Genomic DNA, 25,801 nt, shown 5'->3' on the forward strand with positions numbered 1-25,801 from the left:
TCCCGCGGAAAATGCCGCGCTCCGGTTGGCTGCTGCGACAGTACAGGCTCCACCCCCCCCCCCCCCCCCGGAAAGAACGCGTCCTCGAGGCGGCGATTGCAACACTAGCTTCGCTGCTTAAAGGGGCAGCCACACCTGCTGTTGGTGCCGCCAGCCGCCGGCCGCGCTAGTTAGCAGCCGGCGAGACGGAGACAGAGGGTGGTTCCGGGATTCACAGTGCAGAGGCGGCCAGAGCAGTGCACAGCGCCCCGAGAAATGGGCCCGGATTCCCTGGGATTGAAGGGAAACATTTTGGCGCGGGGTCCCAGCCTGAGCCCAGACCCAGCAGTGTATTCCCCAGGCCACAGGCCCTTTTGTTAGTTTGCATTGTTGCTTAGCTAGCACATGTGCATTCATATCCCCTTTCCTGCTAAAATGAAGGCCAGGAACCTGTTCCCTTTAATGGCAGAGGGGTGAGGGACGGAGGCAAACTAGTCTACTTCTTTGTAGGGAAAACTAACATCTATTCAGCGCCTACAGGATGCCAGGCACCATGCTAGATCCTTACAAGCGTTGTTTTAGTTAATTTATTCCAACAATCCTGGGAAGAGGAATGATGATCCCCATGATAAAGACTGACAGTCTGAAAGGCTGGGTAACTTGCCCAAGGTCATACAGAGAGATTCCCTGATTTGAGAGCTGGCAACAGAATCTGGGACAGGTCCCAGCTCTGGAGCCCTTGTTTTTCCAGTTAAGGGGTTCTTCTACTCTCCCAAGCTGCCTGGGGGCACAGCAGGGTCAGAGTCCCACTGCAGAGCTTTGTCTTGTTCACAGTTGTATTATTAGGACCCAATACTCAGTAAATGTTTGAACATCTCTAGGTTTCTTTTAAACAATCCTTTTGTCACAAGAGCCTCTCTGCCTCATTCAAAAACCTTCATTGCTGATAATACATTCCTCATCACTCCGGTTTAGAGAGGCTCAGAGAAGCAAACTTGGGTAGTGAGTGGTAAAAAGTTGCTAGAAGCTGCTGCTAGATTTCAGGTCTGATTTCTTGCCTGGTGCTGTGTGATTTTTATGCAAGTCTGAGCCTTGGCATTCAAAGCCCTCCAGAGACAGTCCACAGCTTAATTCCTCATTAGATGGTTGAGGCCAAGGTGGCAATAACCCATGATGATTAAGAGCCCAGGCTTTGTAGCCAACAGCCCCGAATTCAAACCCAGGCCCAGACACTTTATTATTCATTGTGTGACCAAGGCAAATTTTGTAAATTCTCTGATCCTTGATCCTTGATTTTCTCCTCCTAATAGCACTTACCTCATATGATCATGAGGAAATCTCATGAGATAATGCATATAAAGCTTTCATCACAGAACCTGGATCATAAGGAGCCTCAAGAATTGGCAGCTGTTGTTATATCTCTGACTTTTTTTTTTTAGACAGAGTCTCACTCTGTCACCAGGTTGGAGTGCAGCGGTGCAATTCTCCTGCCTCAGGTTCAAGTGAGTCTCCTGCCTCAGCCTCCCGAGTAGCTGGGATTACAGGCGCCAGCCACCATGCCTGGCTAATTTTTGTATTTTCAGTAGAGGCAGGGTTTCACCATGTTGGCCACGCTGGTCTCGGACTCCTGACCTCAGGCAATCCGCCCTACTTGGCCTCCCAAAGTGCTGGGATTACAGGTGTGAGTCACCGCTCCCGGTCACATCTCTGACCTTATCTCCAGTGCATAAGACCCTTTTACTCTAGTCTACGTATCTCATTGGTCCTTTTTGGTCCTTTGAGGGCCAGCTTAAATCTCACCTCCTCCAAGAAGCCTCCCCTGCCTGCTTCCTCTCAGCCAGAATGGCTCTTACCCTCTTGGGACCCTTAGTGTGTTCTACCTCAACAAAACAAGGCTTCGTTTTCATACCTTGTTTATCAGTTAGGTTCTATGCTCCTTCAAGAATCTAGGTCAGATCTCTCTAGAATGCCCCTTAGCATCTAGGGCCTGGCTTGGAGTGCAGAAGGCAGGTAATAAATACTGATTATGATTCACTCATCTGCCTGGCTGCAAAGAATAGGAGAAGTTAATGAGATCTGAAGTCAGAAAGTCAGGAGGCCCAGATTAAGTAAGTCCCGCTCTCTACTTCCTAGTTAAGTGACACTGGACAGCCGCTGCTTCACTTCTCTTAACCACAATTTCCTCAACCATCAAATGTGGATAATGCTATCACTCAGTCAATTTCACATTACTTCAGAGACACTACTTAAATGACAGTGGTGGCGATGATCACTGATTTTTATTGAGAACCTACTATACACTGGGCTCTAAGCACCTTGAGCCCCTCCTCTGATCCTCACAACACTGCTCTGAGACGGACACTATTATTATCCCCATTTTACAGATGAGGGAACCTGGAAGGAATTGTGGCAGAGCAGGTTTGGGGAAGCAGCAGGGCCCCAGGGCCAGGGAGGGAAATGGGGGTGGCAGGGTGGAGCTGGGAGAAAAGAAGGGAGCCAGTGAGGGGCTGAGAGCCAGCTCTCTGTGGTTGAGTTTCGGGCAGCTGGGGCTGGCTTTAGAGTTTCACTGCCTGGGAACTGACTAATTCTTGCAATAGGTGTGGGGCACAGATCTGAAATCTGCCTCCCTGAGCTTGAATTCCTGCCCCATTCATTCCTAGCATTGTGATCATGGTCAGGTTGCTGGACCATTCTGAGTCTCAATTTCCTCATCTTTGAAATGGAGGCGGCACAAGTGACCTCTCCATTTACTGTGAGGCCTTAGTAAGGTGTTGGTTATAAAGTCCTTAGAGAAATGTCAGGTGCATGGTAGGTACTTAATATATTTTGGCTAAGGTTTATGTGAAATGGACCCGAAGAGGCCCTCACATGGAACCAGACTAAATACTTGCAGTTTCAGGCCGGGCACATTGGTTCATGCCTGTGAACCCAGCACTTTGGGAGGCCAAGGTGGACAGATCTGTTGAGCCCAGGAGTTTGAGACCAGCCTGGGCAACATGGCAAAACTCTGTCTCTCCAAAATACAGAAAAATTAGCTGGGCGTGGTGGCACACGCCTGTAATCCCAGCTGCTCGGGAGGCTGAGGTGGGAGGATCACCTGAGCCCAGGGAGGTCAAGGCTGCAGTGAGCCATGATCATGTCACTGCACTCCAGCCTGGGTGACACAGTAAGACTGTCTCAAAATAAACAAACAGGCCGGGCACGGTGGCTCATGCCTGTAATCCCAGCACTTTGGGAGGCCGAGGTGGGTGGATCACTTGAGACCAGGAGCTTGAGATCAGCATGGTCAACATGGCAAAAACCTGTCTCTACTAAAAATACAAAAAAAAAAAAAATTAGCCAGGCGTGGTGGTGTGTGCTTGTAATCCCAGCTACTCGGGAGGCTGAGGCAGGAGAATCGCTTGAACCCAGGAGGTGGAGGTTGCAATGAGCCAAGATCGTGCCACTGCACTCCAGCCTGGGTCACAGAGCGAGACCCTGTCTCAAACACACACACACACATACACACACACACACACACACACACACACACACAAAACCCTCAGAGTTTCTGCCGTACACGCCCTACACTTTCCCATCTCCCAGGCTTTGCTTACCTGGCTCCATATCCTCCTATTCTTCAGGCCCCGCCTCCCCTCCAGGCCCCTCCTCCCCTCCATCCCCATGTGCCCAAATCTGACTCATCCTTCAAGGTCCAACTCAAATGGAGTGGAAGGAGCAAAGAATCTGAAGTCAGACATCCCAGGGTTCAAACCCAGGCCCTGACACTTTATTAGCTGTGTGACCCAGGCAAAATTTCCTAAATTCTCTGATCTTTGATCCTTGATTTTCTAATCCTAATAGCACTTACCTCATAGGATTGTGAAGAAATCTCATAGATAATGCATATAAAGCTTTCAGCATGGAACCTGGTTTATAAGGAGCCTCAAGAATTGGCAGTTTTCTTACGTCTCTGATCCTATCTCCAGTGCATAAGACCCTTTTACTTTAATCTACCTATCAACAAATCTTCAGACTCCTTGGGGGCAGGACCCAGGCTTTGTTTTCACTTTTGCGCCTTCCTCCCCTGAGATGCCAGGCACAAAGTAGGCCTGAAATAAATGATAATAGTTCACATTTCCTGAGAACTTCCTAGGCGTAAACACCCAGCTAGGTATTTTACATACATTATTTTGTCGAAACCTCCCAACTACCCTGTAACACAGGTACATTTTGGACAGATGAAGAAATTGAAGCTGAAATATGTAAAGGAACTTGACAACTGTTTGAAGATGAAATCAGGATCTGAACTCAGATCTCTCCCAAGGCACTGCGCTGTTGTGAACAGTGAACTCAGCCCCAAAACCCCATGTGAAGGAGGGTACATTCTGCTAATGAACCAGGGGTTCCAGTGCTGCACACATTGCTGGAAGTGGAAAGACTGTGTCCCACAACTGGATGAGTTGGGGATGCTTAGTACTATTTTCCAGATGAGGAAGCCATGACTTGCCTGAGGCCACAGAGCAGGTAAGTGAGGAAGTTCCTGTTCCAGGCAACCCCAGATAGTCCTGGAAAAATCCCCAAACTAAAGCAAACTTCCATTCCAGCTGGTGTATCTTCTCCTGAAAAATTCCACAGATTCCCTGTGCTCAAAGTCCTGTTAATCAGAATACAAACTGCTTGACAGACACTTCCTGAAGGTACATATTCCCTGTCCCGGGCTCCTCAGCACATCACCTGTTCACACGAATCCCAAATCACAGAGAAACCAGATCAGAGCTATGGGAAACAAGGGAGAAAAATCCCTGCTCCATCTTCTTTGTGCTTTTCCTATTCTACAATAAACATGTATTACTTTGGTGATTGGAGAAAAAAAAGTTGTTTTTTAAAAAGAGAAACAAGGTATTGCTTTAAGGAAGTTCTGCTAGTGGTAACCTTTTTACTGGAACATTGTTGGAAGATGGGTTCGTGGGCTTTTCTAACAGTGACTGGCATGTAGTAAACACTATATGAATGTTTGTTAAATACATAAAATTCTAGGTGCAGGCCGGGCGCGGTGGCTCACGCCTGTAATCTCAGCACTTTGGGAGGCTGAGGCGGGCGGATCATGAGGTCAGGAGATTGAGACCATCCTGGCTAACACGGTGAAACCCCGTCTCTACTAAAAATACAAAAAATTAGCCGGGCGAGATGGCAGGCGCCTGTAGTCCCAGCTACTCGGGAGGCTGAGGCAGGAGAATGGCGTGAACCCAGGGGCGGAGCCTGCAGTGAGCCGAGATCTCGACACTGCACTCCAGCCTGGGCGACAGTGACTCTGTCTCAAAAAAAAAAAAAAAAAAAAAATCTAGGTGCAGTGGTTCGTGCCTGTAATCCCAACACTTTGGGAGCCCGAGGTGGGTGGATCAGTTGAGGCCAGGAGTTCGACACCAGCCTGGCCAACATGGAAAAACCCTGTCTCTACTGAAAATATAAAAATTAGCTAGGTGTGGTGGTGCACACCTGTAATTCCAGCTACTCGGAAGGCTAAGGCAGGAGAATCGCTTGAACCCAGGAAGCGGAGGTTGCAGTGAGCCAAGATTGCACCACTGCACTCCAGCTTGGGAGACAGAGTGAGAACCCGTCTCAAAAAAATAAAAATAAAGAAAAATAAAGAAAAAAACATAAAATTCTAAATCTTGGCACTCCATAAGCTATGTGCTCTTGGACATATCATTGCATTACTCTGGGCCTCTGTTCCTTCATCTGATAAACAGGGCTAATCACAGCTGTCTCGGGTTTATTGCGTTGAAGTGAATCTGGGATGGGATGTGAATGTGCTGTGTGTGTGTGTGTGTGTGTGTGTGTGTACCAAAATTTATTAAGAAGGCAAACAATTTGGTTGGACAACTCTTCAAAGAAAATATACAGAGGCCAGGCCGGACGCAGTGGCTCACACACTTGTAATCCCAGCACTTTGGGAGCCTGAGGCAGGTGGATCACCTGAGGTCAGGCGTTCGAGACCAGCCTGGCTAACATGGTGAAACCCTGACTCTACTAAAAATACAAAAATTAGCTGGGCGTGATGGCGGGCGCCTGTAGTACCAGCTACTCAGGAGGCTGATGCAGGAGAATCGCTTGAACCCAGGAGGCAAAGGTTGCAGTGGGCCGAGATTGTGCTATTGCACTCCAGCCTGGGAGACAAGAGCCAAAGTCCGTCTCAAAAAAAACAGGAAATATACAGAGGCCAATAAGCACGTGAAAAGATGCTCAACATCATTAGTCATTAGGGAAATGCAAATCAAAACTACAATGAGATGACACTTCACTAACCCACTAGAATGGTTATAATAGAAAAGAGAGACAATAACTAGTGTCGTCCAGGATGTGGAGAACCCTCATACATTGGAACCCTCATTCATTGCTGGTGGGATTGTAAATGGGTATAACTGCTTTGGAAAATAGTTCAGCAGTTTTTAAAAAAGTTATACAGAGTTAACCACATGACTCAGCAATTCTACTCCCATATACCCAAGAGAATTGAAAACATATGTTCACACAAAAATGTGTACACAGATGTTCATAGCAGCATTATCCATAATAACCAGAAAGTAGAAACAACCCAAATGCCCATTAACTGATGATTGGATAAGCAAAATGTGGAGTCCAGGCACAGTGGCACATGCCTGTAATCCCAGCACTTTGGGAGACCAAGGCGGGTGCATCAATTGAGCCCAGAAGTTTGAGACCAGCTTGGGTAGCACAGTGAGACCCCATCTCTACAAAAAAAATACAAAAATCAGCTGGGTGTGGTGGCGTGCACCTGTAGTTCCAGCTACTTGGGAGGCTGAGGTGGGAGAATTGCTTGAACCTGGGAGGCAGAAGTCATGCCACTGCATCCCAGCCTGGATGACAGAGCAAGACCCTGCCTCAAAAAAAAAGTGGTATATTTATATAATAGAATATTATTCAGCCAAAAAAAGGAAAAAAAAATTTTTTTTTTTTTGAGATGGAGTCTCGCTCTGTCATCCAGGCTGGAGTGCAGTGGTGCGATCTCGGCTCACTGCAAGCTCTGCCTCCTGGGTTCACACCATTCTCCCGCCTCAGCCTCCCGAGTAGCTGGGACTACAGGTGCATGCCACCACGCCCGGTGAATTTTTGTATTTTTAGTAGAGACAGGGTTTCACCGTGCTGGCCAGGCTGGCCTCAAACTCCTGACCTCAGGTGATGGTGATCCACCACCTCAGCCTCCCAAAGTGCTGGGATTACAGGTGTGAGCCACCGTGCCCAGCCTTTTTTTTCTTAATAGTGACGGGGGTCTCACTATATCCCGTGGTCTGGTCTTGGACTCCTGGGCTCAAGTAATCCTCCTGCCTCGGCTCCCAAAGTGTTGGGATTATAGGCATGAGCCACCACGCCTGGCCCCATAAAAAGGAATGAGGTACTGATACATGCTATGACATGGAAGACTCTTCAAGACATTATGCTAAGTGAAAGAAACCAGACACAAAAGGCTATGTTTGTATGATCCCATTTAGTGAAATGTCTAGAATAGATAAATCTTTTTTTTTTTTTTTTTTTTTTTGAGACAGAGTCTTGCTCTGTCACCCAGGCTGGAGTGCAGTGGCATGATCTTGGCTCACTGCAACCTTCACCTCCCAGGTTCAAGGGATTCTCCTGCCTCAGCCTCCCAAGTAGCTGGGACTACAGTTGTGCACTACCACGCCTGGCTAATTTTTGTATTTTTAGTAGAGATGGGGTTTCACCCTGTTGGCCAGGCTGGTCTTGAACTCTTGACCTCAGGTGATCCGCCCACCTCGGCCTCCCAAAGTACTGGGATTACAGACTAGAATAGATAAATCTATAGAAACAAAAAGTAGATTAGTGGGGCTGGGCGTGGTGGTTCACGCCTGTAATCCCAGCCCTTTGGGAGGCTGAGGTGGGCAGATCACCTAAGGTCAGGAGTTTGAGACTAGCCTGGCCAACATGGTGAAACTCCGTCCCTACTAAAAATACAAAAATTAGCTGGGCGTGGTGGCAGGCACCTGTAATCCCAGCACTTTGGGAGGCTGAGGCAGGAGAATCGCTTGAACCGGGAGGTGGAGGTTGCAGTGAGCCAAGATCGTGCTACTGCACTCCAGCCTGGGCGAGAGTGAGACTTTGCCTCGGAAAAAAAAAAGGCCAGGCACAGTGGCTCAATCCCAGCACCTGTAATCCCAGCACCTTGGAAGGCTGAGGTGGGTGGATCACTTGAGGTCAAGAGTTCGAGACCAGCCTGGCCAACATGGTGAAACCATGTCTCTACTAAAAATACAATAATTAGCCAGGCATGGTAGCGCATGCCTGTAATCCCAGCTACTTGGGAGGCTGAGGCAGGAGAATTGTATGAACCCGGGAGGTAGAGGCTGCAGTGAGCCGAGATCACGCCACTGCACTCCAGCCTGGGTGACAGAGCAAGACTCTGTCTCAGGAAAAAAAAAAAGTAGATTAGTGATTGCTGGGAATGGGTCAGTCTCTGTACAGATGAAGAACATGAGGCTCAGAGAAGCCAATTGCCACCCATCTGTGTGACTTTGGACCAGTGACTTCACGTCTCTCAGTTGTGACGTGGAGAGAATGACGTGCGCCTGAGATGGTGGCTCTGCAGCTCAGTAAATGTGCCTGCGGCGCCTGGTGGGTCCCCCTGCGTCTTCGTTAGTTCCTTTTCCTTCTCTCAGACCTTTGGCTGGAAGCTGGTGGGGCTGAAAGGTGAAGGCTGCCACCTAGAGGTGAACTCTGGCACCTGCCAAAGCCTGCGAGGCGTCTTATCTTCTCATCAAGGTAACTCACCCGCTATGGGCTTGGGGAGGAGAAACAGGATGTGAAAGAAGCAGCCCCGCTGAGGACAGGGCTACTAGACTGGCCAGATTCTTTCCAGATGTTTGTAGGCCCTGGGAATGCTTTTCACAGATGTTGGGTCCCGTGGAGGTGATCCCATGCGGGAAGAGGGACATCCCATGCGGGAGTCAGGTCCCAGCAGAGCTGCTTAGCGTCTCTTGGGGAAATGCCACCTATAATTCCTTCTTCTTCTTTTTTTTTTTTTTTTTTTGAGATGGAGTCTCGTTCTGTCGCCCAGGCTGGAGTCCCGTGGCGCGATCTCGGCTCACTGCAAGCTCCGCCTCCCGGGTTCACGCCATTCTCCTGCCTCAGCCTCCCGTGTAGCTGGGACTACAGGCGCCCGCCACCACACCCGGCTAATTTCTTTTGCATTTTTAGTAGAGACGGGGTTTCACCATGTTAGCCAGGATGGTCTCGATCTCCTGACCTCGTGATCCGCCCCTATAATTCCTGTAATTGTCAGTTTATTCCCTCGTTTTCCTGAGGGATCTCTTTAACACACACACCTGACCTTGTCTCTCTCTAGTTCAAGGTCTGGCAACTAGCTCCCCACCACGGCCCAGCCACCCCCACCACCAGGTCCCTCCGATCTTCAGACCCTTCACACATGGGCCTTAGGTTTTTTTTTTTTTTTTTTTTTTTTTTTGAGACAGGCTCTCACCCTCTCACCCTGGCTGAAGTGCAGTGGCACAGTCTCTGCTTATTGCAACCTCTGCCTCCCAGGCTCAAGCGATTCTCCTGCCTCAGCCTCCCAAGTAGCTGGGATTACAGGCACGCACCACTACTGCCCAGCTAATTTTATATTCTTAGTAGAGACGAGTTTTTACCATGTTGGCCAGGCTGGTCTCGAACTCCTGACCTCAAATGATCCACCTGCCTTGGCCTCTCAAAGTGCTAGGATTACAGGTGTGAGCCACTGCACCCGGCCCCCTTACGTTCTAATCCAACACACTCTTCCTAACTCCCCTCTGACCTCTCAGCTCTCTCTATTGCCCATGCTGTTCTCCCTGCTTCACATGTCTCTCTCCATCTCTTCCACCAGAAAAAACTGTTCTGCTCTCAGATAGAAGTTTCTTCCTTCTTTTCTTTCTTAAACCAGATAAATAAATCATTGAGAATGCTGTGTACCCCCATATCCCCCACGTGATCTTAAACAGCACTCAATTTTAAAAGGGTGCATTTTTAACTCCTCAGGCTAAGAGAACAGAAACCTGGGACAAAATTAGGAATCCAGCTCACATGCCTGTAATCCTAGCACTTTGGGAGGCCAAGGCGGGCGGATCACGAGGTCAGGAGATGGAGACCATCCTGGCTAACATGGTGAAACCCCGTCTCTACTAAAATTACAAAAAATTAGCTGGGCGTGGTAGCGGGCGCATGTAGTCCCAACTACTCAGGAGGCTGAGGCAGGAGAATGGCGTGAACCCGGGAGGCGGAGCTTGCAGTGAGCCGAGATCGTGCCACTGCACTCCAGCCTGGGCGACAGAGCGAGACTCTGTCTCAAAAAAAAAAAAAAAAAAATGAAGCCAGCTCAATTGCTAACATTGAAAAATGACTCAGAACTCTTTTTTTTTTTTGAGATGGAGTCTCACTCTGCAGCCCAGGCTGGAGTGCAGTGGCGCAATCCCAGCTCGATGCAAGCTCTGCCTCCCGGGTTCACGCCATTCTCCTGCCTCAGCCTCCCGAGTAGCTGGGACTACAGGTGCCTGCCACCACGCCTGGCTAATTTTTTTTTTTTGTATTTTTTAGTAGTGACGGGGTTTCACCGTGTTAGCCAGGCTGGTCTCGAACTCCTGACCTCAAATGATCCACCCGCCTCGGCCTCCTGAAGTGCTGGGATTACAGGCGTGAGCCACCGTGCCCGGCCAGAACTTTTTTTTTTTTTTTTTTTTGAGACAGGGTCTCGCTCTGTCCCCCAGGCTGGAATGCAGTGGAGTGATCTTGGCTCACTGCAACCTCCACCTGCTGGGTTCAAGCAATTCTCGTGCTTCAGCCTCCCGAGTAGCTGGGACTACAGGCATCCACCGCCACGCCCAGCTAATTTTTGTGGTTTTTTTTTTTTCTTTCTTTTTAGTAGAAACAGGGTTTCACCATGTTGGCCAGGCTGGTCTTGAACTCCTGACCTTAAGTGATCCACCTGCCTCAACCTCCCAACATGCTGAGATTACAGGCGTGAGCCACCACACCCAGCCCAGATCTCTTTTGAAATAAGCAAGACATTCAGTTTTGAAATCGAGGTGGTTTTGGTGTTGGCCACAGTTGGGGTGGTGGTAGATTATGCCAGCCATCTTTTGGAAGCTGACCCTGAGCCCTGCACCCCACCTCTTGTTAGGAATCTCAATCTATCATTGTTTTTGTTTGTATGTTTGTTTGAGGCGGAGTCTTGCTCTGTCACCCAGGCTTGAGTTCAGTGGCGCGATCTCAGCTCACTGCAAGCTCCGCCTCCCAGGTTCACGCCATTCTCCTGCCTCAGCCTCCCGAGTAGCTGGAACTACAGGTGCCCGCCACCATGCCCAGCTAATTTTTTGTATTTTTAGTAGAGACGGGGTTTCACCGTGTTAGCCAGGATGGTCTCGATCTCCTGACTCGTGATCTGCCCGCCTCAGCCTCCCAAAGTGCTGGGATTACAGGCGTGAGACACCGCGCCCGGCCCGTTTGTTTGTTTTTGTAGAGAAGGGGTTTCACCATGTTGCCCAGACTGGTCTTGAACTGGAATCAAGTGATCTGCCTTGGCCTCCCAAGGCGCTGGGATCACAGGGGTGAGCAACCACACCGGCCCTCTATAATCGTTTTGCAATTGTAATTACAGTTGTTTTAATGTTCTTCCTCCCCACCCCACCCCCAGATTTAAGCTTCTCCTTGTCTTTTTAATTTTCACACCCCAATATCCAGCATAGTACCCACTGCAGAGTACAAGCACAAGAATTGCTTATTGAACTAAACTCAACAAAAGGTTTGTTTGTTTGTTTTGAGATGGAGTCTTGCTCTGTCGCCCACTGGAATGCAGTGGCCCAATCTTGGCTCACTGCAACCTCCGCCTCCCACAGGTTCAAGTGATTCTCCTGCTGCAGCCTCCCGAGTAGCTGGGATTACAGTCACGCACCACCACACCTGGCTAATTTTGTATTTTTAGTAGAGATGGGGTTTCTCCATGTTGGTCAGGCTGGTCTCAAACTCCCAATCTCAGGTGATCTGCCCACCTCGGCCTCCCAAAGTGCTGGGATTACAGGCATGAGCCACTGCGCCTGGCTAATTTGTATTTTTAGTAGAGACAGTTTCACCACATTGGCCAGGCTGGTCTCCAACTCCTGACCTCAGGTGATCCGCCTGCCTCGGCCTTCCAAAGTGCTGGGATTACAGGCGTGAGCCATGCGGCCTGGCCAATGAAAGGTTTTTTGGAATAGGTGCAAGATCACTCACAATCCCCTTCCAAGAGACTTTCCAAGAAAGTCTCTGGCCACTGTCAGAGTCCCTCTGTAACTCTGCTTGGGGGGAAATGGTGAGTTGGGGGCCTTATGAGGCCAAAGAGGTAGTCACAGGAGCCAGAATTCTCACGTACCTCCTCCAGGCTCATGAAGAGAGGCACAACTCACTTTTTTCCTCCCACTCCCTCCCCTCCATCTCTCCCTATTCTCTCTCTTTCCTTTATTTCTCTTTTTTTAGAGATAAGAGTCTTGCTATGTTGCCCAGGCTGGTCTTGAACTCCTATATTCAAGCAATCCTCCCACCTCAGCCTCCCAAAATGCTGGGATTACAAGAGTGAGCCACCATACCTAGCCTATAATTCACTTTCTAACCCACCTCCCCGCCCACTGCTCTCCCCCACGCCCTGCCCTATACACTGCCCCACCCCTGTGATTATTCCTCCCCAAACAAGCAGATCAAAAGTGATGCTAAGAAGTCGGGCACAGTGGCTCACTCCTATAATCCCTGCACTTTGAGAGGCCAAGGCGGGAGGATGGCTTGAGTCCAGGAGTTCAAGGCCAGTCTAGGCTACCTGGCGAGACTCTGTCTTTACAAAAATATTTAAAAATTAGCTGGGCGTAGTGGTATATGCCTGTAGTCACAGCTCCTCAAGAGGCTGAGACTGGAGGATCTCTTGAGCCCAGGAGGTCATGGCTGCAATGAGCTGTGATTGTGTCACTGCATTCCAGCCTGGATGACAGAGGGAAACCCTGTCTAAAAAAAAAAAAAAAAAAGCTAATAGTTGCAAAGCAAGCACATTCATGCCCGATCTGCTTAATTATCACAACAGCCCTATGAGGAAGCCACCATTAGCCCCACAGAACAGATGAAGGAACTGAGCCCAGGAGTAGTTCGATGATTATGCCTGAAGGACAGCTTGTGTGTCAGGGCCCTGAATTTTATTTACTATGTGTGGGTCACCTTTCTGAAGGCTCATAAACTTCCACGCATATGATCCTCATATCATCCCCATGAGATGTGTAATATCATCACCCCCATTTTATAGATGAAGAAACTGAGACTCTGAGCATTTACGTAACTTACCCAAGGCCACAGGGCTGGTGACAGTAGAGGTGGTTTTGAGCCAGGGCTGTCCAGGTACACCCTCTCAACCACTTTGTCATCCTTCCTCTGGATATTCTCTGGACACCTTGGCTTTAGCATGTGCAAGTAGGACGACACCCCCCTCACCAAGAGGTAGTAAGGATTAGATCTAATATGTGTGTGTATCTGGATCACAGTAAATACCCAGGAAAAGAGGTCATCATTTTTGTTCCTCTCTGACAATTGCAGCAACTGGCCGCCAGAGGGGAGTCATGCACTGAAGACCTAAGCCCTTCCCAGGTGACTGGTTGACCATTCAACGGTTAAGAATTGTGCTGGGCCCTTTTATCTCTGTGCCCAAATGTGGGATCAAGGACAGATCTCACCAGTACGGAACTACAAGGATCTTTTGACTCTTGCAAAAGAAATACAGCTTAGGCCTTAAAACCCATCTAAGGCCCCTTTACCAACACCAATTCTAGGACTGGGAGGGTGGGGGAGATCCCTGTGGAGGGAGGCCCAGCTGTGTCCCATTTGGTGGTGGCAGTGCTGGGGGAGCAGCAATTATCAGTAATTCCTCTCCTGCTGGAGGCTGGGCTCCTGGAGCCACAGCTGCAAGGTGGGAGGTGGCAAGGAGGATTTTGGAATTGTCTCCCTAAGGGGTTTCCATGGTTACAGATGGATACAGGCAGCCCACTAGGCTGGGTCCTTTCTCCATATTGTCTCCTGGGGAGACAATGGGCTTTGGGGATGGGGCGGCATGCCACGCAGATCATTTCTAGAGCAGGGACCATGAGTGCCTGCTCTGTGAACCCCTGGACCCCAGCTGCTGGGACAGAGGGAGTTGGGCACAGGGATCAGCCTTGGTAACCGACTGCTTGCTTTGGGGTACAACACTACTGCTACAGCAACTCAAGAGAGGCTGTCCGCTGAGCCACTCAAGCAAATCTGAGGCTCCAAAACAGCCAAACTGCAGAGGCCTCCAGGTATTTAAAAAGCATGCATTTTGGAGTCAGATAGTCATGTCATGATTCTGTCCCTTGCTAGCTGTGTGACTTGGGCAAGTTATTTTACCTTCCTGAGTCCCCGTGTCCTTATCGCGAAAGTGGGACAACACCCACTTTATAAAATTGGTGTGAGGAAGCAATAAGCACAAAGCCTAGTGCCAAGAAAATGCTCAGAGAGTTCCTAAGCTCAGGTGGGTTGATGGGGTCCTGGGATGTGGGACTGGCTCTGTACCCACTCTGTGGCCTTAGACAAGGCCCTTCTTATTTCTGGGTCTCAGCTGCTCCATCTATGACTTGGAGACTTTGAAAGGCTTATAAAGGATGAAAGCTACTCAGGAGGCTGAGGTGGGAGGATCCCTTGAGTCCTGGATCCAAGACCCGCTTGGGCAACATAGTGAGACCCGCCCTGCCTCGAAAGAAAAGGAAGTACCTGGCCAGGCGCGGTGGCTCATGTCTGTAATCCCAGCACTTTGGGAGACCGAGGTGGGCAGATCACGAGGTCAAGAGTTTGAGACTAGCCTGGCCAATGTGGTGAAACCCTAACTAAAAATACAAAAAACATTACCGGGCATGGCCAGGCGTGGTGGCTCACACCTGTAATCCCAGCACCTTGGGAGGCCAAGGCAGGCAGATCACAAGGTCAGGAGATCGAGACCATCCTGGCTAACACGGTGAAATCCCGTCTGTACTAAAAATACAAAAAAAAATAGCCAGGCGTGGTGGCAGGTGCCTGTAGTCCCAGCTACTCGGGAGGCTGAGGCAGGAGAATGGTGTGAACCCGGGAGGCAGAGCTTGCAGTGAGTTGAGATTCCGCCACTACACTCCAGCCTAGGCAACAGAGAGAGACTCCGTTTAAAAAATAAATAAATAAATTTCCTGGGCGTGGTGGCGGGTGCCTATAGTCCCAGCTACTCCGGATGCTGAGGCAGGAGAATTGCTTGAACCTGGGAGGTAGAGGTTGGAGTGAGCTGAGATCACGCCACTGCAGTCTAGCCTGGTGACAGAGCAAGACTCTGTCTCAAAAAAAAAAAAAAAGAAAAGAAAAGTACTTGGCCGAGCACAGTGGCTCATACCTGTAATCCAAGCACTGTAGGAGGCTGAGGCAGGAGGATCACAAGGTCAGGAGCTCAAGACCAGCCTGGGTAACACAGCAAGACCTCCCAATCTCTACACATTTTTTTTTTTAAAGTAGCTGGGTATGGTGGTGTGCACCTGCAGTCTCAGACTTAGGAGGCTGAGGTGGGAGGATCTCTTGAGCCCAGGGGTTTGAAGCTACAGTAAGCTATGACTGCACCACTGCACTCCAGCCTGGGTGACAGATTGAGACCCTGTCTCAGAAAGAAAAGAGGGGAGGGAACGGGAGGTGAGGGGAGAAAAGAAAAGTGCGAGCTTGGGAAAACAGAAATCAAAACACTAACACAACAACCCCATCTTCCAGGACTTAAATCCAGTTGGAATATGCAACATGTGATCACAGGGGCATGTGGTATTTGTGTAAGTAGACTCTGTGCTGTGGCAATTAAGGGAGATTTTTCTGAGGGAGGCAGGACTTAAGTTAGGCCTTCGAGAGTCTCAGAATCAGGAAAATATTCCAGAAAAATCTCCCACGCTATGCCAAGGAGAAACAGAATCCCAGAAGGGCGAAGGGACTCAGTTCTCTGCCACTCAGTTTCAAATCCTTCCTAGTCACTGCCTTTTCCCCAAGGAAGGGTGTGTGTACGTGGGGAGGAAAGGAAGGAGTAAGCAAAAACCATTGTCATTTATGTCCAATTTATGGGACACCTTTACATGAGTCAAGTTAATCATTAGCCCCATTTTATAGATAAGTAAACTAAGGATTGCTCTAATTTTTATCCAACTGATTTGGCGAAACAACGTACATGGCCCAAGAATAAACTTTGTCTCCAGTATGGAATACAAAACTTCCCCAAGGGAAATGTAAAACAATTCCTTCATGTTTAAATCATCAGCAGAGAAAATCAAATCGTTTACATGTCTATTACTTGTCCTTCTATTAAGAGGCACTTAGCACAGAGCCTCGAACATGGTAAGTGTTAAGTAAATGAAAGTTGTTGTCACTGTCACTGCTATTATTAAATGTATTACTACATATTCAATGCTGGGGATACAGAGGTCAATAAAACTCTCTCCCTGTAGTCCCAGCTACTCTGGAGGCTGACATGAGAGGATCGACTGAGCCCTGTTGGTGGAGGTTGCAGTGAGCCGAGATGGTGTCACTGCACTACAGCCTGGATGACAGAGAGAGACCCTGTCTTAAAAATAATGATAATAATAATAAAAATAACTCCCTTCTGTCTTTGAGAAATTCAGCCTAGTGAGAGAAAACGGGCTGCAAAAAAAATGATCTCTTACTTCCTGGACACACATATACCATCTCGTTAAATTCTCCAAACAACCTTGTGAGGAAGGTTTTTTCTTTCTCTCATTTTAGAAATAAGGAAACTGAGGTTCAGTGGGCTTCATTGACTTGCCCAGACATTGTAAAATATGAATAAAATATGAAATAAAATAGTGTTAGAAGACAAACACCTTTATTGGATTAACAGATACATCAAAAAGCAATAAAGTCTATTAATTACGTAAGGCACATAGACCATAGCCCATTTTATTTATTATTATTATTATTTTTTGAGACAAGAGTCTCACTCTGTCGCCCAGGCTGGAGTGCAGTGGTGTGATCTTGGCTCACTGCAATCTCCGCCTCCTGGGCTCACGCCATTCTCCTGCTTCAGCTTCCTGAGTAGCTGGGACTACAGGCGCCTGCCACCACACCCGGCTAATTTTTTTGTATTTTTTTTAGTAGAGATGGGGTTTCACCATGTTATCCAGGATGGTCTCGATCTCCTGACCTCGTGATCCACCCACCTCAGCCTCCCAAAGTGCTGGGATTACAGGCGTGAGCCACCACGCCCGGCCAGCCCCATTTTATTAAAGACTATGAAAGATAGCTTTTACTGAGCTAAAAAATGAGCCAGACTTTTGAGAGCTCTCATTTATGGAGCAACAACGAAGTGCCAGGCACTTTCCATGTGTCTGTCAAATCCTCATAACCCTGAGAGGTAGGAACAGTTAGCTCCCTTTCACAAATGACAAAGCTGGGGCTCAGAGAGGTGAAGTTACATGGCCAGGGTTGCACAGCAAAAGAGGGCATCGAGCCAGTGCTGGGACCCAGGCTCTGACACTTGGGCTAGGAGCTGGAGCCAGGCCTTTCTCCCAAGTCAGGTTTACTAAGAGCTATGCTGCTGCTGTGAGCCAATCACCCTTTCCTGCCTCACTCCACGGAGCGCGATGAGTGGGCGGGAGAGGGGACAGGCGGTTCTTCAGGGCAAGAGGACTTGTTTCAGCCCATTTGGGAAGCAGCCCGGCGTAGCATGGCCTTCTCAAAGTGTGTGTGTCTGCATGCATGTGTGCTCATGCATGCACACATGTGACTGTGTGTGATGTTGGCTGGCTGTCGGGTCTCACAAAGCCATGTGATAAAAATCTGGTACATCTTTCTGAAATGTCCGTTTTACTCAAAAAATACAAATAAAAGAAAGAGAGACATCACAATTTTATATTAAAACACAGAGGGCTATAGAATGTAAGAGAACACAACCTTCACATGGTATGTTAAGATAATGAATGACAACTAGCATTTGGGGGCTGTGGTTATTATTATGTGCCAGGCACTAATCTAAGAATTTTGTATGGTAACTAAGCCTCACAACAACCATCTGTGTAGGGACTGTTAGCAGACACGGAGAAGAGAAGTTAAGTCACTTGTCCAAGTTCACACAGCTAGTATGTGGAAGAGCCTGGGAACACAAAGCATTTCATTAGACAAATCTTAGAACATCTCTATTATCCATTGTTTGTTCAATTAAAAGTTTGTAACAAGGGTCAGGCGCAGTGGCTCATACTCCTGTAATCCCAGCACTTTGGGAGACCAAGGTGGGTGGATCACTTGAGGTCAGGAGTTCAAGACCAGCCTGGACAACATGGAGAAACCCTGTCTCTATTAAAAATACAAAACCCCATCTCTACTAAAAATACAAATCATGGTGATGGGTGCCTGTAATCCCAGCTACTTGGGAGGCTGAGGCAGGAGAATTGCTTGAACCTCAGAGGTGGAGGTTGCAGTGAGCCGAGATCGCGCCACTGCACTTCAGCCTGGACGACAGAGCAAGACACCACCTCAAAAAAAAAAAAAGTTTACAAGGACGGGTGAGGTGGCTCATACCTGTAATCCTAGCACTTTGGGAGGCCAAGGCAAGTGGATTGCTTCAGCCCAGGAGTTAGAGACCAGCCTGGGCAATATGGCAAAACCTTGTCTCCATTAAAAATATAAAAATTAGCCAGGTGTGATGATGGGTACCTGTAGTCCCAGCTACTTGGGAGGCTGAGGTGGGAGGATCACTTGAGCCTGGAAGGCCGAGGTCACAGTGAGTTGTGATCATGCCACTGCATTCTAGCCTGGATGACAGAGAGAGACCCTGTCTCAAATATAAACAATAAAAATAAAACAAAAAATTGTTTAAAAGTTTACAACAAGATTTATACACAAGAATGAGGATAAGAAGTAGCTGGCTCCGGCCAGGCACGGTGGCTCACACCCATAATCCCAGCACTTTGGGAGGCCGAGGCAGGTGGATCACTTGAGGTCAGGAGTTCAAGACCAGCCTGGCCAACATGGTGAAACCCCGTCTCTACTAAAAATACAAAAATTAGCCTGGCATGGTGGTGTCCACCTGTAATCCCAGCTATTCAGGAGGCTGAAGCACAAGAATCGCTGGAACCCAGGAGGCAGAGGTTGCAGCAAGCCGAGATCACACTACCACCCTCCAGCCTGAGTGACAGAAAGAGGCTCTGTCTCAAAAAAAAAAAAAAAAAGGTAGCTGGCTCCCCTTTTGCTTCCTCTTCATGAAATTATAAGGGCTGCCAGTTGGGAGCAGGTACTCTACCTCTGTTGTCTTATTTAATTCCTACAACAACCCTATGGGAGAGGTAGCATTGAAAGTTTACAGATGAAAACCTGAGGCTCAGGGAGGTGGTGTCATGTAGCTGGTCACACAGCTAAGAAGTGGCAGAGAAGGATTTAAATGCAGGTCTGGCTGATCACGAAGCTGCTGCTCTTACCTACACAGTTACACCAACCCTGGCCTCCACGTTCTCTGGCCTCTGGGTTATGTTCTTCCTCCCCACAACTCCTATTCTCTTCAAGAGAGGGTAGTTTCATGAGTGAGCTGGTTCTGGGTCAGGCTGAGCCAGGGGAGGCTCACAACCTCTGAAGCTCTGTCCCTCCAGCAGCCAAAAGCACACTTGTCATGAAATAATTACAAATTCCAAGAATGAGAAAGTAGTAATTAGGCACTGACTGGGAGCTTGAAGATCTGGATTTTTATCCCCAGTTCTGTGAGGGAATCTTTGCCTGAGTCACTTTCCCACTCTGGGACTCAGTTTCTCCATGTGTGAAATGAATCTAGTAATGCTTCTTGAGTGCCTGCCACGTCCTGGCAGGCTTTTAGGTGCTTTACATTCAGTATATCGGCACACAACTGTGGACAGGGTTCTTACAGTATTACAGGGAGGAGACTGAGGCTCAGAGAGGGGAAGGAGCTTGTCCAGGGTGGCAGAGCTTGGGAGTAGATGTGCTGGACCAGAGCTCTGCTTTTAGTCTCTGCACTGTTTATATTTATTCCTCAAGCCACTGGGCTTCGACGCTGATCAGATGCTGCCAGGCTGAGTGAAAGGGCTCTGCATATAGAGCGCCAATGCTGGACAAGAGTCCCGGGGTGCTGTGACTGGGTCATGCCAACCACATTGCCACTCTGGAAAGAAGAAGAAGGAATAAGGCTAGGAATCTGACACCAAGCCCAGCAAACTCTGTGGTGGGGGTCATCTGGAGCCTACCAAGTACCAGATGCTTTACATATGTCATCTAATTTAATCATCAATTCAACCATGTGAGGCTCAGAGACGACAAATAACTTACCTGTGGCCCGGTTCGGTGGTTCAGACCTGTAATCCCAGCACTTTGGGAAGCCAATGTGGGAGAACTGCTTGAGCCCAGGAGTTTCAGACCAGCCTAAGCAACATACAAAAAAAAAAAATTAGCCAGGCATGCTGGCGCACACCTGTAGTCCCAATTACTTAGAAGGCTGAGGTGGAAGGATCACTCGAGCCCGGGAGGTCAGGGCTGCAGTAAGAGCAGCGATCATGTCACTGCAGTCCTGCATGGGTAACAGATTGAGACCCTGTCTCAAAAAAACAAAAAGAAAACAAAAAACTTACCTGTGATAGCACAGCTGGTAAATGACAAAGCTGAAGTTTCAACCAGTGTCTGTATGTTTCCCAGACTCACAGAGAGAACGTAACAGGATTACTGCTGTGGCTGGAAGAGGCCAATTCTGCAGCACCCACCGGTTTGCATGAAGTTTCAAAACAGCTGCAGACATCCAAAGCACTGGGTAAGGAGGCCATCCTGTAGACTGTGGCTCTGACAGTTACTCCAGGGTGACCTTTAGCAGGTCCCCTAACACCTATGAGCCCTGAGGGGGGTGAAATGGAAGCACCCCCCAACCAGTCCACGTTACCACATAGACTGTAAAATGCCGCCCACTAGTGAATGGCCTCTTTTGAAACACTTTCTTGCTGTTCTCTTTGTATATGGAGTTGAACCTGCAGTGGAAAATGTGATTGACAGGGATTAACATCTAGGCCCCTTGGGGCCCACCTGGATGAACCCTCAGTGGAAGCTGGGATCATGAACAATGGATATGGAACCACTGTAAGACCAGGTGGCCCCTGGCCCTGATGAAGAGAGTCAGGGTGTATGTGGGGTGGGGAATGGAGCAATATGGTTGTCTGTCCTGATGGTCCTGAATCTCTCATCTCTTCCCTGCATAACCTACAGTGGCATGTCTTGAAACCCCCTTTTTTTTTTGGAGATGGAATCTCACTCTGTTGCCCAGATGCTCAGCTCACTGTAACCTCTGCCTCCTGGGTTCAAGTGATTCTCCTGCCTCAACCTTCCCTTCCCAGTAGCTGGGATTACAGGCACGTGGCACCATGTCCAGCTAATGTTTGTATTTTTAGTAGAGACGAGGTTTATCATGTTGGCCAGGCTCGTCTTGAACTCCTCCCCTCAGGTGATGTGCCCCCCTTGGCCTCCCAAAGTGCTGGAATTACAGGTGTGAGCCACCGGCCCGGCCTTGAAACCCTTTTTTTGATGCTAGAAATGGCATAGGTATAGGAGGCCGGGCGCGGTGGCTCACGCCTGTAATCCCAGCTCTTTGGGAGGCCGAGGAGGGCGGATCACGAGGTCAGGAGATCGAGACCATCCTGGCTAACATGGCAAAACCCCGTCTCTACTAAAAATACAAAAAAAATAGCCAGGCGTGGTGGTGGGTGCCTGTGGTCTCAGCTACTCGGGAGGCTGAGGCAGGAGAATGGCGTGAACCAGGGAGGCGGAGGTTGCAGTGAGCTGAGATCGCGCCACTGCACTACAGCCTGGGCGACAGTACGAGACTCGGTTAAAAAAAAAAAAAAAGACGAAAAAAAGAAATGGCACAGGCATAGGAAACAAACCAGTATTCAGAAATAACTTGGATCGGTGAGTGGGGAGGTTATTCTGGGGAGTCTGCCGTGCCTTGGGTACCCTCATTGCCACACAAGGCACATTTTTAGCCCCAAAGGGACCAACTGCCAGCTGGCCAGCGACCACCTCAACTCCGGGTAATGAGTTCCATATGTTTCCATAAGAGCCCAGCTAAGCTTTTCCCCAGCAGTTCTTACAGTGTTCTCTCCCTCCCTGCCTCATCTCGATGCTTGGCCACCCTTGTTCTATTTGCTCCTAACGAGGGTGGCAGGGAGGGGGCTAGGTGGGCAATGCCAAGAGACAATGCTTTGGGAAGTCACCCTTCCCTGACTTCATTTTTGCAGATCCTCAAGCTAAGAGGCAGTCTCTCGGCCTCTCCAGGCTTCCGCTGCCCCATCTCTATAGTGGGAAAAACAACCCTTACTCAGGGTAGGGAGAGCATCACGAAAAGAGCCCTGGATAGTAAAGTGGGAGGCTGGTGTTCCAATCCCAACGTGAACACTAACTTGCTGTGTGTCCCTGAGCAGGTTCCTGCCCCTCTCTGGGCTACATTTGTGACCTCTAAGGGCCCGCCCTTCCATCCCTGACAAGCTTCAGAATTACAACAAATGACTTAAACAGCAAGGAAGAACATCTGCTTTCCTGGGTGGCTTCAGGGTAGGGGTCCCCAGGAAGCCTAAGGCCTCCCTACCCTGGCCACCCTCACTCTAAGCCCAGGCTCCCTTTGACAAGTCTGGCCGGGTGAGAGCTTCTGCCTGCAGCATCGGGCACAAAGTAGAAGCAGGGTAGCAGTGAGGAGAGGCGTCCCCCGATGGAAGCACAGCTCCACAGCTCAGAAGGCGGAGGCGGGGGGGCGCCTATGGTCAGCCCCCAACGACGGCGAGAGGTGAATATGAGTTCAGGGGACTTCAGAGAACTCCTCCCTCCTTAATCTGGTTTGTCAAAGGCAACCCCCAAAGTCCCGGTCTCAAGGTGTCTCACTACCCTGATCCCGACTGCCCACCGACCCTACCCAAACACGGACTCACTAACCTTGGCTTTTGACACTGCCCACAGACGGACCCCCACAGCCTGACTACCCACATTTATCCCTAAAGCCTGCCCCAGGCTGGCGAAACCCCAAATCCGGCCACGCTCTGACCCCCGATCTCAGCCACAAAGAGACTCCGTGACCTTGCCACTGACTGACCCCTAAGAGGAGAACTAATCAGAGAACAATTAAATTGCTCGACTCTCAGCGAAGCACCTCATGGAACAGAGGGGCGGAGGTGGGGAAGGACTTCGAGAGGGCAGAGGCTTCCCGGAGGAGCCCAGCGGGCCTGGGGCCACACTCGGAAGGCCGGGAAGGCCCTGTGCAGGGCACGTCGCAGGCGCTCGAGGAATGCGAGTTGCCTGAAAGAACGAAGGAAGGAAGGAACCGGGTGCGATCCAGGGCGGCCTCGCGGACGGGGCAGGAAGCGGGTGGGGGTGCGCAGAGGCTGCAGCGGCCCGAGCGCAGCTGGGGGCAGCGGGAGAGGAGTGGGGTCAGCGACTCCGCTGGGTGGGGGGCCCCCCAGGCCGCGAGGCTGGGAACCGGGAGGCCGCGCTGCTGGCGGAGCGGCGGGGGCGCCGCGAGGCTCCGGATGGGCTGCGAGCCCCGCCCGCAGGCTGCGGAGGGAGCCGGAGCCAGAGCGGAGCCAGAGCTCAGACATCCGGGCGCCAGCGAACACCTGCGAGCGGCCCCCAGGGCCCGCGGGGGGAGCGTGGGGCGCCGGGAGGGGCGGGGCGGGGAGGAGGCGGGGCCGGCTCGGCTCCGCCCTGCCGGGCTCCAGGCCACGTGGGCCGAGGCTCTGCCCCAGCCCGGGCGCCGCAGCGCCGCCGGTGGGGAGCGGCTGTCTCCGGGGAGGTCTGGGAGTGGGCAGAGTGGAGCCCTTGGAAGCAGCGCTGCGGGAAAGAGCGCGGCAGGAGGTTCTCAGGTTTAGCCTGGGGCATGGGGAAGAGTCGTGGCCACGAGGGGTGATGAGGCCGGGAAGACAGATAATTGAAGGTTGTCCGGCGCGTCCACAGCTAGAGAGCTATAACTGGCTTTCTGAAAAGGGCACCATTTCTGGTGTCACAGACATGAATTTGAATTCTGGCTTTGTTACTTAGAAGCCGTGTGGCCACCGGCAAGTTACTTCGCCTGTTCTGAGCTAGTTCATTTATAAAATAAAGACACCTCCCAAATGTCTGTATTTCACAGCCGATGCGATCAGCTCTGAATCCGATCGCATGCGACAATTTGCACAAGACACTCAGCAGTGAATCTTGTAGTTAAGGAAGCCTCGTGGATACTTTATGCGCCTTATAGTTTATCCGAACAACACACATGGAAGGGAGGTACCGACATCCCCCTTTCACAGATGAGGGGGAGTCCTAGGTCTTTCATTCCACAAGCGCTCCCTGGGACAAGCACCCCCTGGGGACCAAGCATGTGCCAGGCTTTGGGAATGGCGAGGGAAAAGAGCCAATTTGAAGAGAAGGCAAGAACATGAGCTTTGAAGCTAGAGGAAGCTGGGGTTCCTAAACTCTGCTCTGCTACTTTCTTGCTGTGTGAACTGTTTCTTGCTGTGTGCCACTTTCTTGCTGGGTGATCAAGTTATTCAGCCTGAGTCTTTTTTCTATAAACCAAGGAATGTTACCCATCACGGTGGTTTGTGAGGATTAGAACAAAAATGGAAGATAAAATAGTCTGGAACCTGGCAGGCACTTCCATAGGTGATTATGACAGAAGACACTATCCTCTCTGGGAGTTATCTGACCTAGGGCCAAATTGCTTTCACTCTCTAATGACTAATGGATTGGCATGCTGGTCTTTCTTTTGTCCTGGCCACCTGAACAACTCAGTCCTGGGAGTCCTGACAGGCAATTTCCTTGGAATTAGCTTAATAATACCTCGTAGGTGTGTGATGCATTTCAAAGAACTTTCCCACCATTATCTTCTGTCCTGGGAGGCAGCAGGGCACAGAAGGAGCATGGCTCAGAGAGGTGGAATGCTTGCTCAAGGTCACTCGGCAGATGACCACCGCAGCCCTTTTTAGCCTTCCACGGTACTGAAACTTCCGAGCAAACGGGAGGCAACATGCTGTGGCAGAAAAGGGTATAAGACGTTGAGCTCAATGCCTGGCTCTACTGCAGTTCATGGTGTAATGTGGGGCCTAGGACCTCAGAACCGCTGCCTTAGAATCAGCTTCCTTTACAGATGCAGAAACTGGGGCTCAAGAGAGGCAAAGTCCCTAGCCTGAAGTTATACAGGTAAGAGGTGACAGAGCAGGGATTTATGTCCCTTTATGGTCGTCTCTAAAGCCAGCACAGCACACCTAAAAAACAATCCAAGATAGACCCAACCCAGGCCTTGTAGGTGGTTTGGGGCAAGGGTTCCTCACATGAGGATTGAAGTCTGCTATTGCTCTGCACTGTGTGTGTATTTTTTTAAGAGAGTGTTCATATCTTCCTTCAGATCAGAGTGACCAGGACACAGAACAGGTTAAGAACCACTGATCAGGCTGGGAGTTTGGTTGGCAATGCCAGAGGTTCTCCTCCTCCCCCATGCCCCTGTTCACCCCAGCAAGCTCACCAGGGTTAAGGCACTAAAGGTGATGACGTGACCTGTTTGTTATGAAATATTGAAGTAATTCATGCCAGGGACCAACACACAGATGAGATCATACCATAAACAGGAATCTCTAGTAAGGCCAGGCACCTGGTGAAGCCCACCTGGGGAGCCACCAGGGGTGTGGGGGAAGGCATGGGTTGGGATCTTGCTCTCTGCCCCACTGCCAGGCCTGGCCTCAAGGAATGGCCAGTCCCCAGCCCTGCTCCTGTTCACCACAATCAAGTCACGGTTCAAATCCCA

The 25,801-nt window shown here is 49.8% G+C and overlaps 2 long non-coding RNA genes across 4 annotated transcripts in view, besides 5 other annotated features; one reads left to right on the plus strand and one right to left on the minus strand.

Annotated features, from left to right (window-relative positions):
- Window positions 27–166: a silencer, noted in NCBI's record as "silent region_415". NCBI's record gives its function as "represses an Ori minimal core promoter by ATAC-STARR-seq in GM12878 lymphoblastoid cells {active_cell/tissue: GM12878}" and the evidence as "EXISTENCE:reporter gene assay evidence [ECO:0000049][PMID:35858748]".
- Window positions 8,539–8,833: an enhancer, noted in NCBI's record as "tiled region #6048; K562 Activating DNase unmatched - State 1:Tss". NCBI's record gives its function as "activates a minimal TATA promoter and a strong SV40 promoter by Sharpr-MPRA in K562 cells {active_cell/tissue: K562}" and the evidence as "EXISTENCE:reporter gene assay evidence [ECO:0000049][PMID:27701403]".
- The window catches only part of LOC124903876 (uncharacterized), a 33,818-nt gene continuing 16,601 nt past the window's right edge, over window positions 8,585–25,801 (plus strand). Inside the window, exons 1-4 of one of the 2 annotated variants that reach the window (XR_007065538.1) lie at window positions 8,588–8,754; window positions 20,686–20,797; window positions 21,003–21,117; window positions 22,272–22,356. This is a non-coding gene — a long non-coding RNA (uncharacterized LOC124903876). Of the gene's footprint in view, window positions 8,755–20,685; window positions 20,798–21,002; window positions 21,118–22,271; window positions 22,357–25,801 lie in introns of those variants that run through there. The other variant, XR_007065537.1, reaches the window with a different exon arrangement.
- Window positions 13,440–13,734: an enhancer, noted in NCBI's record as "tiled region #7496; K562 Activating DNase unmatched - State 12:CtcfO, and HepG2 Activating DNase unmatched - State 8:EnhW". NCBI's record gives its function as "activates a minimal TATA promoter and a strong SV40 promoter by Sharpr-MPRA in K562 cells, with weak activation in HepG2 cells {active_cell/tissue: HepG2 | K562}" and the evidence as "EXISTENCE:reporter gene assay evidence [ECO:0000049][PMID:27701403]".
- LOC105376859 (uncharacterized) lies at window positions 17,196–23,644 on the minus strand. 2 transcript variants are annotated; one of them, NR_188656.1, is made up of 5 exons: window positions 23,174–23,644; window positions 20,622–20,775; window positions 20,323–20,415; window positions 19,467–20,158; window positions 17,196–18,145 (listed from the first exon to the last, which is right to left on the minus strand). It is a non-coding gene; the product is annotated as an uncharacterized LOC105376859 (long non-coding RNA). The 2 variants fall into 2 exon arrangements; NR_188655.1 differs by having other exon boundaries at window positions 22,960–23,644.
- Window positions 17,595–18,145: an enhancer, noted in NCBI's record as "H3K4me1 hESC enhancer chr1:23875384-23875934 (GRCh37/hg19 assembly coordinates)". NCBI's record gives its function as "activates a minimal SCP1, AML or CMV promoter by ChIP-STARR-seq in primed H9 embryonic stem cells {active_cell/tissue: H9 hESC(primed)}" and the evidence as "EXISTENCE:reporter gene assay evidence [ECO:0000049][PMID:30033119]".
- Window positions 23,323–23,812: a silencer, noted in NCBI's record as "silent region_416". NCBI's record gives its function as "represses an Ori minimal core promoter by ATAC-STARR-seq in GM12878 lymphoblastoid cells {active_cell/tissue: GM12878}" and the evidence as "EXISTENCE:reporter gene assay evidence [ECO:0000049][PMID:35858748]".

The sequence above is a fragment of the Homo sapiens genome, chromosome 1, assembly GCF_000001405.40.
Source record: "Homo sapiens chromosome 1, GRCh38.p14 Primary Assembly".
NCBI lineage: Eukaryota > Metazoa > Chordata > Mammalia > Primates > Hominidae > Homo > Homo sapiens.